Here is a 19759-nt window from a genome sequence, read left to right as displayed (position 1 = left end):
ATTGCTCACTGCTCACTCCTGGGCTCAGGTGATCCCCTACCTCAGCCTCCCAAGTAGCTGGGACTGCATGTGGTCACAGCATCTGGCAGTTACATCCAAGTTTTTGTAGTATGCAATATAAGCTATTCACTTGATAGATATTAGCTTGCCTCAAACTGTTTCCCAGGTACTTTTGCAAGTTTTTGAGAAGTTGTTGTCATCCAGAAAGCATTCTGCATGTTCTTCCCTTCCAGGCTTTCCTCTTGTCAGTAGCTGCTGCCTCAACAGCTGGTGACTCTCTGAGATTGCTGGTCTGCTGTGTGTGGCTGCATGGGCTGGGAACCAGTGTTGTCCCGCTGGACCACATAAAGGGTATACTACTAATTTTGGTGACCAATGTGCATCCTTATTGCCAATATTGATTGCAGTAATACATTTCCAACTCAGATGTGTCCAATTAAGGCCAAAAGTCTCCACAAGTGTTGTCTTGGATATTGGCTGTCGTAGAAGATGCTGAGTTCACAGAACTGCCTTTAGAGGCTGGAGCTAGTGTCAATCACAATGGCACTGGATTTAGCACTTGCTCCTGGTCTGAATTCACAAGTTCAGGGCAAAACACACTCTCATTGTTGGAATCACTCGATGCTGCTCTATATTGTACGGTCTGGGCCCAAATCATAGGTCCCAATGAGAAGAGGAATTTCCTTTATTCTCATTCAACAACCTCCCTCATTACCTACCAAAAAATCATCAAATTTCTAGAGCCATTAAGCCAGATTTATCAACTCCAAACAATTACAGTATATCATTTGTTTGAAAAGCATTAACTTATATGTTTTCCAAAGTGTACTGAGCATTACTGGGTAGACTTGCCTGTGATAATGGGAATATCCAATATCTGTAGTTGCAACTAGCCCCAGCTGGCTGTTCAGCACTTGAAATGTGGCTATTCTGCTGGAGGACCCTTTTTTATCTTTTTAAATTTTAGTTTATTTGAATTTCAGTAGCCTCATTGACTAGTGACTATTGTATTGACAGCATAGGTCTAAGTTATTTATCTTTTGCAAAATCAGAACTATCAAATCAACCTATTATCCAAACATGTGCCATAACTATCTTTCTAAAACATGGATCTGATTATCATCCACCCATCCTAACAGTCGTTCTCAAAGTACTCCCCGGCCCTCATCTGTGAAGTTCAATTTCATCAGCTACACGTCAAGTGTCATGGTGGGCCCAACCCCACCTCACCCACCTCACTTCCAAGGATTCATCAAATCAACATAATCAGCTTGAGCACAATATGACCCTAACTTAAATTACTTATTAGCTGAATTGACCCTGAAATAACAAAATAAAGTACTTTTTCACCCATTTATTGAGAGTAAAATAATATTTATTGCACTATTTCTTCATGCCAGACATTGTATTGGCAATTTTACATATTTTACCTTGTAATTGCCATTGTAACTCTATAAATAACGTACTAGTACACCCTACTACTGAGGAAATAGGTTTTCTGAGAAATACCTTTCCTGTAGTTTCTAATATTAGTTGATAGGACTGTTGGAATGTAAGGTCTCTGAGAGTGGAGGGTCCTGCCTTGTGCACTCTTTGATCCTCATCACCTAGACTGGTACCTAGCACAGAGTGGACATTTCCATAATATTCATTCATTGAACACACAGACCAGGTTTTATATCCAGGTCCATCTACCTCTAGAGAACACACATGTTCTTGGGGACACTGCTGCAAAGTCAAATTTTAAATAATCATTTGGAATCTAGGCAGAAACTTCTGTCTAGGGCAGGGATTGACAAAATGTTTCTGTCAAGGGCTCTGTAGTAAATATGTTAAGCCGGTTTCTGTGGCAACTACTCAATTCTGCCATTGTGGTGTGAAAGCAGTTATAAACAATAGGTAAATGAATGAGGATAACTGCATTTCAGCAAAAACAATGGCTAGAAACACCGACTGCAGTTTGCTGAGCCTTGCCAAAGATCAGTAACTGTTAAACTTCCAGGGTTTATTCAACATAAAGCTGGTCGCATCCTTTGCAAAATCACATCCAATAACCTCACATGGCAACCTCAGCCTAAACTTTCTCTCCTTTTTGTCATCAAAATGTCAGTATTATTTTGCATTATTTCTTTTTCATTCAGATTGCTAGAGTAAGATCTTCTGTTTTCCTGAGCAATTTCCATGCAATCCTGTTAGTCATAAAACCCCCAAAGGCCTGGTTGAAAAGTCACATCCACTAATAAGGGCAATCATGTCTAATAGGAGCTCTGATTCATTTCCCAGATGCAAGAACACAAACCACAGTTCTGCTTATTCCAGATCTCAGATGCAAACACTCAATAGCTGAGATGTGTTTTGCCACTGGGTGGAATAAAACATTTCCAGACTTTAGAAATGCAGAGAATCCAAAGATGACTTTAATGTTCGTTGGAAAACGAATAACAACCAAGACTTCACACTGGATACACAAGGAAACCTATTTATCAGTATCATTCAGTGTTGAGATTCTGTCAGCTGGGCCTAAATACGTAGTGCAGTCATTTCGTTTTGTTTGTTCTTTTTTTCATTTTCTTTCCATTACTGGATTCATTTTGTTGAGGTTAACCTTGAACTGATGAGAACTGAGTTCAGTCTTGAAAATAAATTCCATTGTTTACCTAGTATTGTTTTAGCTCAATGAACTCTATTGAGGCCAGTCTACATCTCTGAGTATAGGTACAGACATTGTCTACATGTGTGAATCATAAACTCCCAGGAGTTGTAGAATTCCCATTGGAAGGATCTCAGGTTTGGAGATAATGCTATTCCCGTCACTTATGATGGTAAGCTCCAATGTTCATTCCTGTCACTTATGATGGTAAGCTCCAACGTTCTTGCCAGGGTAGAGAATAGAAATGAAAGATTGAACCTGTTGTTTGATGAACAGCAATGAAAGAATGGTGAGAAACAGCAATGGTCTTAGTGTCTGGAAAAAGGAAGCAGTGGAGTCTGTGACAAATGGCAGGCCCCTTCTTCAGACAGAGTCAGTTGAGACTCAGCTTTGCCTATCATTGCTCTGAAGAAATGCCAGGGTTTTCAGATCATCTAATGTTCTAGTGTTGTTGTGAACTTTTCCAATTTGTAAATATCAGTAACTTCGACTTGTTTTTCCCTCCATAAAAAAAGGGCCAGACTTCATACATATGACAGCTGCATCTGGTCTAATGGTCATCTGCTCTGTTTAGCTCTATGAGGGCTATGTTTGAGAGCTCTTCTTTCAATTATAAAGAAAATAATCTTAGGGGGAAATAAAGACATATCAACAACTATCTTAATGTAAGAGCAAGTTGAAAGGTTCTAGCAGCAAACACTGCAAACAGAGAAGTGGGAATGCTCTGCTTATAAAAGTCACCATCATCACAGATGGGCCTTGCAGATACAGGGCAAAAGTAGCAGTGAGGGCCCACATATTGTACATTTAATAATTTCAGGTTATGTACCAAAATTTCATTGAGTAAAAAATATTCTATATCCCATTCCCTCACAAATATATTTTCATAATTACAAAGTAAACAGCATATGCAAATCTATAATATTAATGATGTCAGCAAGCTACTGAAGACAAAGTAATTTCTTTAGCACTGTGAGCGTCTGGTTGTTTGATATGCTTTGGCTGTGTCCCCCGCCGTCAAAATGTCATCTTGAATTGTAGCTCTCATAATTCCTATGTGTTGTGGGAAGGACCCAGTGGGAGGTAATTGAATCAAGGGGACAGGTCTTTCCCATGCTGTTCTCGTGTTAGTGAATAAGTCTCACGAGATCTGATGGTTTTTTAAGTAGGAGTTCCCCTACACAAGCTATCTTGCCTGCTGCCATGTAAGACATGCCTTTGCTCCTCCTTTGCCTTCCACCATGATTGTGAGTCCTCCCCAGCCATGTGGAATTGTGAGTCCATTAAACCTCTTTCCTTTATAAATTACCCAGTCTTGGGTGTGTCTTTATTAACAGCATGAGAACAAACTAATACAGTGTTCTCTTCATGGACAGCAATATTTAGATGACTAAAAATTAAAAATGCATAGCATATAAATTGAATAGTAACATGAATTTTTTTAGTATTGCAAACTATTTTTCCTCTGCAGCTGTCCTCTGCAGCTGCTGGGAAGACTGGGCAAGGGTTTGAGGTCCTTTAGACCCACAAAATGGAGCAGCAGGAAGAAAGTCAGCACTCTTGGAGAAGAAGACTCCACTATGCAGGTCTGCAGCAACCTTGCAGCAGCCAGGTGTGGCTGGCTAATTTGTCATTTCTCTCATTCAAGGGCCACTTAAATCATGCTGCACATCTAAGCAAGACCCGTGTCTGACATGACAGGGACACAACACAAATTTTTTCTTCATCTGGACATGATCTCTTCTTGTTTAGAGGGCATTAGGGAAAGAGATGTGGGCAAGAGTTGAATTTTGTCTGTGCAGCCTTTGTCATGAGAATGGATGTGGAAGGTCACAGGCAGCACTGCCCCAGCACAGAATGTTGGGTTTTCAGGGGCAGGGGTGCTCATGTTCTCAGGTATAACTTTGTGTGAATGTGTTTGTGTGTAGGGGTGTGCCTGTAGGGTTGTGTGTGTGTAGGGTTGTGGGGCGGGGGCTGTGCATTTGTGTAGGTGATAGGGTTTGGGCATGTCCCCACCCAAATCTCATCTTCAATTCCCTTGTGTTGTGACAGGGACCTGGTGGGAGGCAATTGAATCATGGGGGCAGGTCTTTCCCATGCTATTCTTGTGGTAGTGAATAAGTCTCACAAGATTTGATGGTTTTATAAGGGGGAATTTCCCTGCACAAGCCCTCTCTCTTTGCCTGCTGCCAACCATGTAAGACATGATTTGCTCCTCCTGGGGGCAGGTCTTTCCTGTGCTGTTCTCATGATAGTGAATAAGTCTCATGAGATCTGATGGTTTTATAAAGAGGAGTTTCCCTGCACAAGCTCTCTCTCTGCCTGCTGCCATCCATGTAAGACGTGACTTAACTCCTCCTTGCCTTCCACCATGATTGTGGGGCCTCCCCAGCCACATGAAACTGTAAGATCATTAAACCTATCTTTCTTTTTTAAATTGCCCAGTCTCAGGTATGCCTTTATCAGCAGCGTGAAAACAGACTGATACAGTAGGTGTGTATGTATGTAGACGTGCTTGCGTAGGTATGTGTGTGTAGATGTGTATGTGTGTAGATGAGTATGTATTAGGGATGTATGTGTGTATGGTTGTGTATTGGGGTGTGTGTGTAGGGGGTTGTGCTTGTATGGGTGTGTGTATAGGGTTGTGTGTGCAGGTGGGTATGTGTGTAGGAGTGTGTATGTATGTAAATGTATGTAGGTAGGTGTGTGTAAGGGTGTGTGTATGTATGTAGATATGTGTGTAGGGGTGTGTGTAAAGTTGTGTGAGTAGGGGAGTGTGTAGGTGTGTATGTATGTAGATATGTTTGTGTAGGGGTGTGTATAGGTGTCTGTGTGTAGGGAGGTGTGTTAGGGAAGTTGTGTAGGTGTGTGTATAGGTGTGTGTGTTGGGGTGTGTGTTGGGGTGTGTGCATAGGGTATGTGTTAGGGAAGTGTGTGTAGGGGTGTGTATGTGTGGTGTGTGTGTACAGGTGTGTGTAAGGGGACAGTGTCTGTAGGGCTATGTGTGTGTGTAAGTGTGTGTATGAGCATGTGTGAGTGTAGGGGTGTGTGTGCATAGGGTATTTGTTAGGGAAGTGTGTGTGTAGGGTTGTGTGTGTGTGTAGGGTGTGTGTTAGGGGAGTGTGTGTGTAGGGGTGTATGTGTAGAGGTGTTTGTGTGGTGTGTGTTAGAGTGTGAGTGTAGGGCTATGTGTGTGTGTAGGTGTGTGTATAGGCATGTGTGCATAGGGTGTGTGTTAGGGGAGTGTGTGTGTTGGTGTGTGTGTAGGGTGTGTGTTAGGGTGTGTGTATAGGGGTGTGTGTGTAGGTGTGTGTGTGTAGGTGTGTGTATGGGTGTGTGTGTAGGTGTGTGTATGGGTGTGTGTGTGTAGGGGTGTGTGGGCATAGGGTGTATGTTAGGGGACTGTGTTGGTATGTGTGTAGGGTGTGCGTTAGGGTATATGTGTAGGGGATTGTGTGTGTAGGTGTGTGTGTGTAGGGGTGTGTGTAGCGGTGTGTGTGTAGGATGTGTGTTAGGGGAGTGTGTATGTGTAGGGGTATCTGTGTGTGTGTAGATGTGTGTATAGGGGTGTGGGTGTGTGTGTAGGGGTGTGTGGGTAGGGCATGTGGTTAGGGAGTGTGTGTAGGGGTGTGTGTGTGGATAGGTGTATGTATAGGTGTGTGTGTTGGGGTGTGCGTGCATAGGGTGTGTGTTAGGAGTGTGTGTGTAGGGTGTGTGTAGATGTGTGTATGTAGAATGTGTGTGTGTGAGGTTGTGTGTGTGTAGGTATGTGTATAGGGGTGTGGGTGTGTGCATAGAGGTGTGCGTGTAGGGTGTGTGGTTAGGGAGTGTGTGTAGGGGTGTGTGTGTGTATAGATGTATGTATAGGTGTATGTGTTTGGGTGTGTGTGCATAGGGTGTGTGTTAGGAGAGTGTGTGTAGGGTTGTGTAGATGTGTGTGTGTAGGGTGTGTGTGTAAGGGTATGTGTGTGTGTAGGTATGTTCATGGGGTGTGGGTGTGTGTGTAGGGGTGTGTGTGTAGGTTATGTGGTTAGGGAGTGTGTGTAGGGGTGTGTGTGTGTTGGGGTGTGTGTGCATCGGGTGTGTGTTAGGGGAGTGTGTGTAGGGTGTGTGTAGATGTGTGTGTGTAGGGTGTGTGTTAGGGTGCGTGTGTAGGTGTGTGTATAGGGGTGTGCATGTGTGTGATATGAGTCACTCTACAGTGCAGAACCCCAGACAGACCTCCCCTTGCTTGCCTGAAAGAGGGGCGCTGCTGCAGGAGAATTCTAAGGGCATTTCTTGACTCAGTGAACATTTGTCCTAGGGCCCCTGGAGTATCTCACCCCATTCCCAGGGATAGGGGAATGTAAGGACCCAGCACACCCTGTGTCCTTGGCTTAGGGTATGAAGTTCTTCCAACAGAGATGCCAGGAGATGTGGCACCAGCGCTTCACTGCTAATGGGAACTTGCAGGCAATGTCCACCCTGGGTTGTGTAGGGGTGGGATGCCGTCTTAACAAGCTCCTTCTAATCATAAACACTGTTAGTTAAAGGTGGGTTTGCAACAATATTCTAAATACAGCAGTTCATATTCTCATACAAAATAGTTTAATCTTTAAAACTTTTTTTTTCCAAATTAATTGTTGATGAGACAACAGGAAATACTAAGGAGAAAACTCTAGAACTACCTTTTCTGAATTAAATTGTTTCACAGGAGTTAATAAATTTTTACTCTGACTTAACCAAAATAGGAAGAAACAGACCATTTATAATTTGTCATCTGTGTGTTAATGCAAGAAATATTATGGCAAGGTCCAGCTAGTGCAACCATTAGTGAAAACTTCAATGTAAATGAATATACATTTATATGTTTTAATGAGTCTGAACAAAATAAGATATGTACAAATCATTTGTGTAATTATCTGCAGTGATTTTTTTTTCCTAAGATGGAGTTTCGCTCTTGTTGCCCAAGCTGGAGTGCAATGGCAAGATCTCGGCTCACTGCAACCTCTGCCTCCCGGGTTCAAGTTCTTCTCCTGCCTCAGCCTCCCGAGTAGCTGGGATTACAGGGGCTACAGGCGTGTGCCACCACGCCCGGCTAATTTTTTGTATTTTTAGTAGAAATGGAGTTTTACCATGTTAGCCAGGCTGGTCTCGAACTCCTGACCTCAGGCGATCCGCCCTCCTCGGCCTCCCAAAGTACCGGGATCACAGGCGTGAGCCACCGCGCCCGGCCGACAGTAAGATTTTTATTGATCGCCTTTAATATGCATAGCGAGCATGAAATAAGAGAAAGTTTAACTAGTTGGCGTCAGATGTTGAAGGGCATGAACGTCACGTACCTATAGAAAACCACATTCTTTCCCCGAACGAGGCTTGGGTGCAACGGGTCTGTGTTTGCCTTTTCACTTTGCTTTAACTACTCTCTACTTCTTTCTCTTTTTAAAAGACACATTGTTTCTTTAATAAGCTAATTCCTTCAGTTCAGGTTTGCTGTGGTCAGGGAGACCTTCCATTATCCTAAAGTAATTTTGCCTTAATTCTGCTCTGATCTATTAAGTTGGCTTCTGGATTTACTCTCAAAAGGCAATCTCGACCTCACTCCTGTATTGGATTCTTAGAGATGATACCTCAGCATAACTTTTTTGTGTATCCCAGGTTTCAATGCATGCAGTGATATGTAGCGCATCAGGAAATCAATGTAAAGATATTCTCTAGATTGACTTTCCTGTATATTTGACCTCTTTTTCTAGCCATTTTTAAAAATTAATATGACAACCATCTTAATCTTTAAAGCCACTATTATGTAAGTTTTCATCCCTAACCAGAGATCTTGGAAGACTTAGGGGTCTTGGAAGACTCAGGCACGTCGTGTGATGCTGTACGTTAAAACAAGAAAATGAAAAGAAAAGAAGTAGAACTGGCCGGGCACGGTGGCTCACACCTGTAATCTCAGCATTTTGGGATATTGAGGTGCACGGATCACCTGAGGTCAGGAGATCAAGACCAGTCTGGCCAACATGGTGAAACCCCATCTCTACAAAAATACAAAAATTAGCTGGGCATGATGACGGGTACCTATAATCCCAGCTACATGGGAGGCTGAGGCAGGAGAATTGCTCAAACCCGGGAGGTGGAGGTTACAGTGAGCCGAGATCACGTCACTGCACACCAGCTTGGGTGACAGGGCGAGACTCCACCTCAAAAAAAAAAAAAAAAAAAAAAAAAAAAGAAGAAGAAGAAAAAGAAAAAAAAAAAGGAAAGAAAAGAAACAGAACTGCAGCAACGAAACAACTCTCTTGTTCTCATCAAGAGAGTTGTTTCATTGCTGAACATATAAAGAGGTCTCATTGCGTGGAAACTCTTCTGTGTTGTCCGGGGCGAATCCGATGGGAAGTCAGAGCCCAGGTGCAAAGCCAATGCTTCCACTTCGTGTCAGTTTTACTTGAGTGAGTTTCATCTGATCTCTGTGAAAATTGACATTTTGACCCGTAAAACAGAAAAATCATTAGGAAATTTCCCTGCAGGATTATTGTACATGTTTATAAAGCATGCAAAGGTTTTAGTGTATGAGGGACGTGTCACACAGCAAACCATCAATAACTGTTTCCTATTAGCACTGCCATCATTGTTAAGACTCTATTTACTATCACTACTATTAGATTGGGGTGAACAAGTAATTGCTGTTTTGCCAAAACCGCTAGAGTGCAGTGGCACCATCTCAGCTCACTGCAACCTCCGCCTTCTGGATTCAAGAGATTCTCCTGCCGCAGCCTCCCGAGTAGCTGGGATTACAAACGCATGCCACCATGCCTGGGTAATTTTCTTATTTTTGGTAGAGATGGGTTTTCACCATGTTGACCAGGCCGGTCTCAGACTCCTGACCTCAAGTGATCTGCCCGCCTCGGCCTCCCAAAGTTCTGGGATTACAGACCCATGAATTTTAACACTGGATTTTACCTCAGTCTTGTGCTTTCGGGAAAACAGCACCAGTGAGAACTTCCACCACTTCTGTGTGCCGGGAAATGGCTCACCATATATTCCAAATGTCCCCCTCCTGTACCTCTCCTCAGTGACAGGTCCCTGGTCCATTCTTCCTCCAGATTCCCACAGGACTCACGTCTACCTGCTTGTGTGGGATCTCAGGCTCCTTTCTTTCCTTTGAGCTATTTCTGAGTCATTCTCCTGATTTCAATCACCAGAATAAAATCACCACCTTTCTCGTGTGGAGCATGTGTCTTTCACATCTGTCTATGAATTTCCACATCTGTAGAAGGTACTGCTACTAGGACTATGACCTTCTTTATGGGTTTGTTGTGGATTTTAGACGCACTTCAAGTGCTTAGCAAAATTCTTGACACTCAGTAAGGACTCGTTGGAGACATCTAGCAGCAACGCATGTGCATAGTGATTAATGCTGCATGAGACAATGCTGGAGCTCACTTTAGTTTAATCACTGCAACAATTATTCTTGAGACAGGGATTACTTATTCCCATTTTGCAGATTGGAAAACTGAGAAAGATACTCTGGCCTGCTCAAAGCACTCATCTAGCCGGGTAAAGCTGAAATTTGAACCCGGACAGTTCTCATCCATGCTGTAGCTTAGAGATAGCTCATCTAGCTGTAGTGATGGCTCTGAGCAGCAGGGAGTGTGAGCTTTGGGGAGAAGATAGGATCTGATACTGGTTTCCCATCTTCCCTCTCCCACAGCATCTTAATATGGGTTTGTCCTCCCAGGAGGGGACTGTGGGAGCTGGTCATTCCACCTCGGACAACAGAATAATCTTAAAGTATCACAACAGCTGAGTTGAGGCATAATCTTTCTAGGCCAATGGAACTAGCCCTCCAAGCGTTCTCCTAATTGATATGCCCAGAGCGAATCCGATTGGAACAGGAAATCGGCCTGCCTGTGCAAAACTGACCCATCCAATCCTGGCATGTTGACGGCCACTTACTCCAGCCTTAGAAATATGCCTGGCATGTAGATTTAGTGACAGAAATAATTAGCTATCAGAATGGATCAAAAACTTCTTTTTATGAAACTAATTCATTTAAAGTGCTTATTTATAAGCGTGTCTATATTAGCATTCTTTTAAACCATGATATCAATTTTAGTCTATTGTTAACCTAATGAGCACTAAAGAATCTGCTGAATTCAGCAGACATTTATTGACTATTTTACTCCCTGCCAGGCACTGTGCTAGGTGCCGCATAGAATGACGTGATGCATTTTCTTTTTATTTATTTATTTTTGAGATGGAGTCTCACTCTGTCACCCAGGCTGGAGTGCAATGGTGTGGTCTCGGCTCACTGCATCCTCCACCTCCTGGGTTCAAGCGATTCTCCTGCCTCAGCCTCCCCAGTAGCTGGGACTACAGGCACCCACCACCACACCCGGCTACTTTGTATTTTTAGTGGAGATGGGGTTTCGCTATGTTGGCCAGGCTGATCTCAAACTCCTGACCTCGTGATCTGCCTGCCTCGGCCTCCCAAAGTGTTGGGATTACAGGCGTGAGCCACTGCACCCAGCCAACGTGATGCATTTTCAGAAAGCAAGCAATCTAGTGTGGATGGCGGAGGAAATATAATTGGATAAATACACAAATCCTTTCCTTCTCCCCTTCCTCTTTTCTTCCTTTCCTCCTTCCTCCCTCCCTTCCTCCTTCCTTTCCTCTTTCCTTCAACTCTTGTTTAGTATTTACTCTGTGGCAGACACTGAGTCTATATTGGAGAATATATCAGCCATATTTTCTGTTTTCTAGAATTTATAATCTGATGGAGAAGAAAAACAATAAAAAGTGAGAAACGCTTTGAAGTGCAATTTCAGAGTATTTTACTTAAGGAGGAGAGTGAGTGCCCGCAGAATGGTTGTTCTATCCAGAATCGTTCTGCGTGGCCACGGCGGGAAGTCACTTCATGTCTCCTTCACCTTTGTGAAGCAGCCTCAGATTCCTTTGCAGCCTGAGGCTTTGGCCAGGCACAAGGGTTCATTGATATGGTTTAGTTGGCACTTACTCTTACACATTCTGTTGCTTCAAACAGAAACACTAGTATCTTTCTCACCCCTTTCAGAGAGAGTTTTTTTTTTTTTTCTTTTCATCTAACCTTCCAAAGAATTCTATTCTGTGCAGATGTTGGTGGCAGGATGTTAGAAAATTCCCTGGCAAAAGACTGAGTCTGTCTTTCTGACAAAAATAAACAAACAGCCAAATGTGTAGGAAGGACAGAGTTGAAATAGCTGGAGATAGTAGGCTATTTAGTTTTTCATAGAATCCTGGCCTTTCTGTCAAGGTGGAGTTGTCATTTTTCCATGCTGGGATATAGGTAGAAAGTGGGTTTTCTTTCAGCTGTCATAGATTTGGGGGAAGAACAACTTTTTTTTTTAGAACACCCTGTCTTCAGGGCCTCTCAGTTGCCTATCAGCAGTATGAGACAGAAATGGGCAAAATCTGAGAAAAAAAAAACCATCCTACATTTTAGATTCTACAAGGCTTTTCTTTTGGGACTTTTTTCTCCAAGTGATAATAACAACCCTACAAAACACAGGAACACAGAAACCAATCCAGAATAGATTTTGCAAACTGTTTAAAACAAGTCTGCCAGAAATCAATCACCCCTTTCCACTTAAACAAGAAAGAGTGACACTCACAGTCTTACCTTCAGAAAATTGTACTGACTAATGAGATTCTAAGTTGTATTGGGAATGATCTGTATCTTAAATTATATAAATTGAGGAAACCATCTGTCCATCACCTGTAATCACACATGAAAAGAACAATAATCATATCTGGTACTCATCAACTACAGTATATTTGTCAATGTTTTCATATATAGTATTTTATAATATGCTTTGAGACAATAGTTTCACATGTCAAGTTGGTGATATATATCAACAATTTGAATTCACATCATTTAACAAGAAAAGTGGGCTGAATCTTACCAGACAATAGTTTCCTTTTCTTGGGGACAATTTTCTCCCTCCCTCTCTTCCTTTCTCATCCTCCTTTCCTTGCTCTTTCTAACAATGGGGTGACCAGCGTGAGTGAAATAATACTGTTGAACCAGGCAAGGCTTAGGGGCCTGAGACTGATGCAGCCTCTCTGGACCACATAAAACTGGGAGATAAGTAAAGAGAAAACACAGTGAAGACAGACTTTACACTTTCCCAAATTAAAATAGTTTAGTTTATTATAAAAGTGATAATATGACCATTTAAAAAAAGCAGACAATACTGTGAATTATAAAGAAGAAAAAAATCACTTAGTAATCTCTTAGAGACCAACTCCGCTACATTTTGAAATCTGTTTCCAGAATTTACTCCATGTTTACATATTTGTGTATATAATTCTGAAAAGGACAATCTGTAATAATTCAAAACAAAAAATATCTTAACATTAAAAAAATTTATACCAATATAGACCTGTTTTATCATTTTTTATTTTATTTTGAAATTTTATTTATTTATTTAATGTTTGAGATGGAGTCTCTGTTGCCCAGGTTGGAGTGCAGTGGCATCATCTCGGCTCACTGCAACCTTCACCTCTCAGTTCAAATGATTTTCCTATCTCAGCCTTCACAGTAGCTGGGACTACAAGCATGTGCCACCACACCTAGCTAATTTTTGTATTTTTAGTAGAGACACGGTTTCACTATGTACGCCAGGCTGGTCTCGAACTCCTGACCTCAAGAGATCCACCCACCTGGGCCTCCCAAAGTGCTGGGATCACAAGCATGCGCCAACCACCATGCCTGGCCTTTTTTCATTGTTTTAAAATGACACATAATGGTCTTTGCATAAATCTACAATAATTTAATAACACCCCTATCAGTGGTTAATTCAGCTTTTGATATCTTTTATTCAGCAGCGATGCTATGGAAAGTTGAACTCAGAAGTAGAGAGTAGAATGGTGGTTAGGAGGGGCTGGGATAGGGGTGGGGATTGGGGAGAGTTTGGTAGAAGGATATAAAATGTCAGTCAAGTGGCTAAGTACAAGAGATCTATTGTACAACATGGCGACTAGAGATAATAACAACGTACCGTATTCTTGAAACTTGCCAAGAGAGTAGATTTTAGGTGTTCTCACCACAAAAAAAGATGTCTGTGGAGTAATGCATGTGTTAATTAGCTCAGTTGAGCCATTTCACAATCTATACATATTTCAAAACAACCTGTTGTACATGATAAATATATACAATTTTAATTTGTTAATTGAAATAAATAAGTAAATAATGTTAAAAAAAATAAAAGCAATGCTCTGAACATTCTTACATACACACTCCTGCACTTGTCTTTTTCTTTCTTTAAATCAGTTTCTGCCTGTGCAGTTGCTGGATCAAAAGTTGTCGACATTTGAATTTTGATTCATTTTGCCAGATGGCCATCTAGAGAGGTTGAAAAATTTGTAGTTCCATAAAGAAGAGCGTGCCTGATGTTAATCCCAGGCAGATGGGAGAAGAGAGCATTTAAAATTTTATACATGGTGGGGATCTTGAGCCTCTTGAGTGTGCTTTGGATGCACTGACCCTTCTGAGCTCTCAAGAATATCTCTGCCTTTTCCAGAGGTTTCACCCATGGAGGAAGTATGCAATAAGTGCACCTAACTTTCTCCAGATTTCATCCTTATCAGGAGGAGGAAGCCATGAGGGCAGAAGCCTGGGAGACTGGGTAGTTTTGCCACTGGCCAGGTGAGATTTTGTCCTGGTTTTGTGTGACATTGCTCGTGACAGCTTAAACATCTTGCACAATCACTGTTTTACTCAGTGCATACTACTTGCTTGTAAAAGTATCGCAAAAATAGTTTGGGAAGATTCATACTAAATAAACAATGATTTTGGAGGGTGACATTGGAAGGGCAAAGGTAATTTTGTGTTTAATTTTTTAAAGTGCTATTTAAGTATTTTAAAGTGTATTTGGGATGTTGTGATTTTTATATATTAAATGAAGTATTTGTTGATTGAATGGACTGGATTTTTGATGGTGGAGTTATTGTAGGTTGATGGTAGGGAAACTTCTTGTTGGAAAAACAGAAATACAAACAAGAGAATCTCTTATTGAAAAATCAGGAATAAAAATTAGTCACACGGGTAGGGATGATCATACTGTATTCATTTTCCCTCATAAACTCCACACTAAACAAATATATAGGCCGGGTGCGGTGGCTCACGCCTGTAATCCCAGCACTTTGGGAGGTCGAGGTGGGCGGATCATGAGGTCAGGAGATCGAGACCATCCTGGCTAACACGGTGAAAACCCATCTCTACTAAAAATACAAGAGATTAGCCGGGTGTGGTGGTGGGCGCCTGTCATCCCAGCTACTCGGGAGGCTGAGGCAGCAGAATGGCGTGAACCCGGGAAGCGGAGCTTGCAGTGAGCCAAGATTGAGCCACTGCACTCCAGCCTGGGCAACAGAGCAAGACTCTGTCTCAAAAAAAGTAAGGATAGGACAGACATCTAAGAACTAGGGATACAGGAGAATAAAATAGATGCAGTTCTTGCATGGTCTATTGAGAAAGATCAGATATTGTTCAATTCATTTCATGTCCCTGAATACTACAAAAGGCAATAATTATAATTAACATTTAGTGAGCAATTGCTGCATGCCAGACATTATTGTTTAAGGTACTTTATGTATAACATATTTCTTTAATTACCATAACTACCCTGAGATCTGGGTATTACCAGATTGTACAATTTAGTAAGAACTTAGGCAGTGAAAGATTAAGTAATTTGCCTAAGGTTACATGATATAATCAATCAAATCTGAGCTATTATCAACTATAAGATATATGTACTATTAAAATGCTGCCTATTAGCAATATAAAATGCCTCTTACTGAAAGACTAACTTCAGAGATATTAGCATGTAAAAAAAGTCCATATTTTGTTCAGTGAAATATGGTAGTTAGCAAGTGTTTACACCTGTAATGTGAACACTATGTCTGTCTCTCCCAAAAATACACTTCTGAAACTATGCGGTTATGTTATTGACCATTAATCAACATTGTATGCGTGATGCTTGCTTCTATTGGAGTCCCTAGCTAATGTTATTCTACAGAAACTTCAAGGAAAACTGGGAATTGTGGACCAAGTTAGCTAAGCACTTTTACAGAGATTCATCATTAATCTAAAACCCAAAGAGTTAATAAAAGTAAGCCAAGAAGATAAATTAACAGCATTCTCTGTATGCACAAGAATACCATGTATTAGAAGAAGCAGAAAGAATCCTGACTGACGGATGTTGGGAAGTGGGGTGGAAGAGGGGTGAATATGAGAATGATGAGGTCGGGGACTCAGGGGGCCCAAGGAAGATACGTTTTTTAATGAGAGAGACTTGGAGATACTTAAATGAAGATAGAAAGAATCCAGGAGTAAGGAAAATGTTGACTACACAAGACAGAGAACAGACACTCATACTCTATGATGACTGAGCAGGTGAGAAGACCTGAGATGGAAGCACACAGGAAAGCGGTGGCTTTCAATTCAGTAGAATATTTCTTCCAGGCAACAAGAGCAAAGGAAGAGAGCACATGAAGTGCTGGGAACAGTCCACATAGACTAACAATAAATTATGAATATTTCTGAGGGTGCACCAGCGCTGGATGGCATCAATGTCACCCACACGGTTCTGCACAGATGGGAGGTTATGCATCATTTTAAGCTTTAGGTGATAAAGGCCTGGACCCAGTGACGATGGCGCAGACAGAGAAGAAGAATGGATGGTTTTTTAAAAAATTAGCTTTATGCCCTAGTTTCTTCAGTTTCATTCCCTCCTAAAAATCAACCAAAATACAACATTCATTGCTTTGTCTTTTCACTACGACTTCTGAGCATCAGCCTTGCCCTATTTTTGTAGGTCCTGAGTCCTTCCAGTTTCAGCTCAGATGCTATATGCCTTCTCTGTTTCTTCTCTGCTACCCTTGGAAGTAAACATGCCCTCCTGTGAGGTCCCTCACATTAGTAAGAATGTTTTATGTTACTTCTTTTGTGTCCTCTTATTTCCTATCTCAGTTGATAATGATTCATGTTCCAGTTATCTCCTTCATGACTTTACAAAACCGTGATCTCTGGGGCCATCTTTCTTCCTCCATCTTTGCACCTGCCCCATCATAGCTGGATGTGGTACTGCTAGGTTAGCACTTGTTCAACCAACTGGACATGGGCACAAGAAGGAGAGAGATTATCAGTGATGATTATTAGGTTTTGATGCCTCCTTTGGAAGCATCTTCTTTGATTCTTCCTTTGGAAGACTAGAAGGCAGATGATTGTCACTGGCAACAGCAGAAGAATTTGGAATAATGGTTTATGGAGGGAAGGTATACATTTATTTTTGGCTTATGGTTGCATTTGGGAAGACTTTGACACTAAGATGGGAACTGGATTTCTGATACTACATTGGAAGACTGCAGGCAAGGGGACCTGTGCCTCTGCAGACAGAGCATCTGGTACAGTCACACAGCTCACCTGCACACCCAGGAGAGGCCAGGCTAATCCCTCAACCTCTCCCAGTCTGATCTCCCTCACTCTTCCAATGGAGGTGATGAGGATGTTAAGAAAAAAAAAACAAAAGCCCACCTTATCTCAGAAGTAGTAATAAAGAGGAAAGAAGGTGAGTTCGTAAAAACACCTTTAAAAGCTTTATAAGACTTAATATGTCAATAGTTATTACTATGAAATGTCCAAAAAATGATTTCCCTTGAGGAACAGAGTGAGCTTTGAAGCCAGATGCCATGGTAGTCCCTACCTCCAGAAGTAAGTATGTTAGTAAGTGTGAATTCCTCAAGACAGTATCTGGAAGTGGATGAGCACTCAATAAATAAGAATAAAACACTTCCTACTATGCTCATTGTTATTTATATATGGATCTGCAAATTGGATGAGAGTATAGTAGGAGCATCATTGTATAAAGTCTTGCTGATTAAAAGAGACAAGAAACAAGATCTAATTGGGGAAATTTCCTCAATTGGGTTATGTGAGAAGAAGCAGCTCTCACGCACATGGTGTGTTTTCTTAGAGCCAGCTCTAATTAGAGCTCAAAATCACCCACTTTCCTCATATGGCTCGGGGAAATATGGCCCTGTTTTCTCCCTCTGGAGGCTAAGGGAGATGTTTTTCTCAATCTACAGAAGAGACAAATAAACACAACCTGGGTGTGGCAGAAGCACCCCCTGCTTGGGCTTACCTTCCTCAGTCCCCATCCAGGACAGAACTCAGAGGACAGGGCCTTGCTTTCTGATTTCTCATTCTGTTCTCCAGAGTTGCTTCCTTTTACACTAGGCAGGTTTCTAGGGAACTGGGCAGCAGGTGTAGGTGGATGACTAGAGGGAAGCTGTGGGAAACAGGCAGGCGAAGCCAGCAGTGGGACCGGCCGCGCTTCTCTGACTCTCGACCCAGGGTGGGTGGCATATCACCCATAGGAAGGACCTCCGAGGCCCAGCGAGGTTTCCCCAGATGCTGTCAGCATGGAACCTCTTGTCATGAAGCAGTAAATGAAGACCCGCTGGGAGCTTGCTGTCCCCGTGAGCTCTCACCTTCAAACAGGGAAGCTGGCTGACAATTGTTCTGCTAAATTTAGCCGTAGACTGGGAGTCCAGGCAAGTGCCTATGTGGCCAAATGAGTAAGCGTTGGCCATACGACTTGTTTTGTCTACAGTGATCTAGAGACACTTCGAATTCTGCTTGGCTTCAGCAAGCTAAGCCCTTTCAAATTCACTATTTCTCTCACAGCCATTCTGTTGTGAGCAGGAGATAAAACAAATAGTAACCTTCACTTCCTTTCATCCAAGGATCAATGTTTTAAAAAAGGAAAAAAAGCAAAGCAAAACAAAGCATCTCTAGGCAACCGGTTCAAAAAAGAAAAAAGGTTCCCGTTAGCAAGGCATATGCCCAGAGCACTTGTGCTGTTGCAGTATATGTGTTTGCTGTTTTGCTTTATGATTTAACACGTCCTTCTGTGATGAGATTCCCGTGAATATGTTGTTAATTGCTTCAAATTCACCAGATTAGGGAAGCCAGCTGTCTTCCCTAATGTGTTAGTTATTTTTATGTGTCAACTTGGCTAGGCCACAGTACCCAGATAGTTGGTCAAATGATGTTTCTGTGAAGGTATTTTTAAAATTTAAGTTCCATTAAATTACATTTTAATTTTAAAATTTAAATCAGCAGACTTTGAGTAAAGCAGAATACCCTGTATGGTGTGGGTGGGCCTCATCCAATCAGTAGAAGGCCTGAATAGAAAAAGCCTGAATGCCATGAGAAGCGGGAATTCTGCCAGCTGACTGCCTTTGACTGTGAGCTGCAACGTCAACAATTCCCTGGTCTTCAGCCTGCCGGTACACTCTGAAAATTTTGGACTTAACAGTCCCCATAATTGCATGAGCCAATCCTTCAAATAAATCTCTCTCTCTCTCTCCCCCCACTCTTGTTTTTTGTTTTTCTCTCTCTCTCTCTGTCTTTCTCTCTCGCTACACACACACACGTGCATGCACACACAGTGTATTCACCCTGTTTATTCTGTTTCTCTAAAGAACCCTAATACACCTGCCACCTTATAATCTGCCATTTCTTGCTTTTCTTTTTAGAGACTCCAGGTAGACATCTTGGATAGAGTGGTCATACCAGATTTAGCAAATACAAATACAGGATGCCGAGTTAAGTTTGAATTTCAGATATACAAGAAATACTTTAGTATAAGTAAATCACATGCAGTATTTGGGATATACTTATACTGAAAAAAATATTCATTGTTTATCTGAAATTCAAACTGAACTGAGCATCCTGTATTTTATTTGGCAATCCTAATGCCAGTATCACTATGGAAGGAGAGGTTAGTTTTGTTCTTCTCTGTGATTCAGACAATACCTAAACTCAGCTCTTTTCTCCAATCTTTGGTCTTCTTCTTCTTTAGGTTCCAGCCCTGGCTAGCATGAAGCCATGACCCTTACTGTTGTTATACCTTCAACACCCTGTCCCATGTTCTCTCATCACCTCAGAAGAAAGATACTCTGAAACTGTTCATTATCTATTCTATAGATTCTGTCCTTTGCAAGATTAGGACCACTTACCTTCTGACGTGATTGTGGATACATTGTCACCATAGCCCTAAATTTGGGGAATCCCTTTCTGATTTCAAT

At 41.8% G+C, this 19759-nt stretch overlaps 1 long non-coding RNA gene across 3 annotated transcripts; it reads right to left on the bottom strand.

The window, feature by feature from the left end:
* Positions 1–2398: 2398 nt before the first annotated feature.
* On the bottom strand, positions 2399–18113 carry LINC00370 (long intergenic non-protein coding RNA 370). Of its 3 annotated transcripts, NR_170228.1 has the most exons (5): positions 17809–18113; positions 13669–13729; positions 12571–12745; positions 12288–12383; positions 2399–2908 (listed from the first exon to the last, which is right to left on the bottom strand). It is a non-coding gene; the product is annotated as a long intergenic non-protein coding RNA 370 (long non-coding RNA). The 3 variants fall into 3 exon arrangements; NR_170229.1 differs by lacking the exon at positions 13669–13729; NR_170230.1 differs by lacking the exons at positions 12288–12383; positions 13669–13729.
* Between the last annotated feature and the right edge of the window lie 1646 nt (positions 18114–19759).

The sequence above is a fragment of the Homo sapiens genome, chromosome 13 (genome assembly GCF_000001405.40).
Source record: "Homo sapiens chromosome 13, GRCh38.p14 Primary Assembly".
In the NCBI taxonomy this organism is placed as follows: Eukaryota; Metazoa; Chordata; class Mammalia; order Primates; family Hominidae; genus Homo; species Homo sapiens.
The sequence above is the reverse complement of the archived record's forward strand: the minus strand, read 5'-3'. Positions and strand labels throughout refer to the sequence as shown.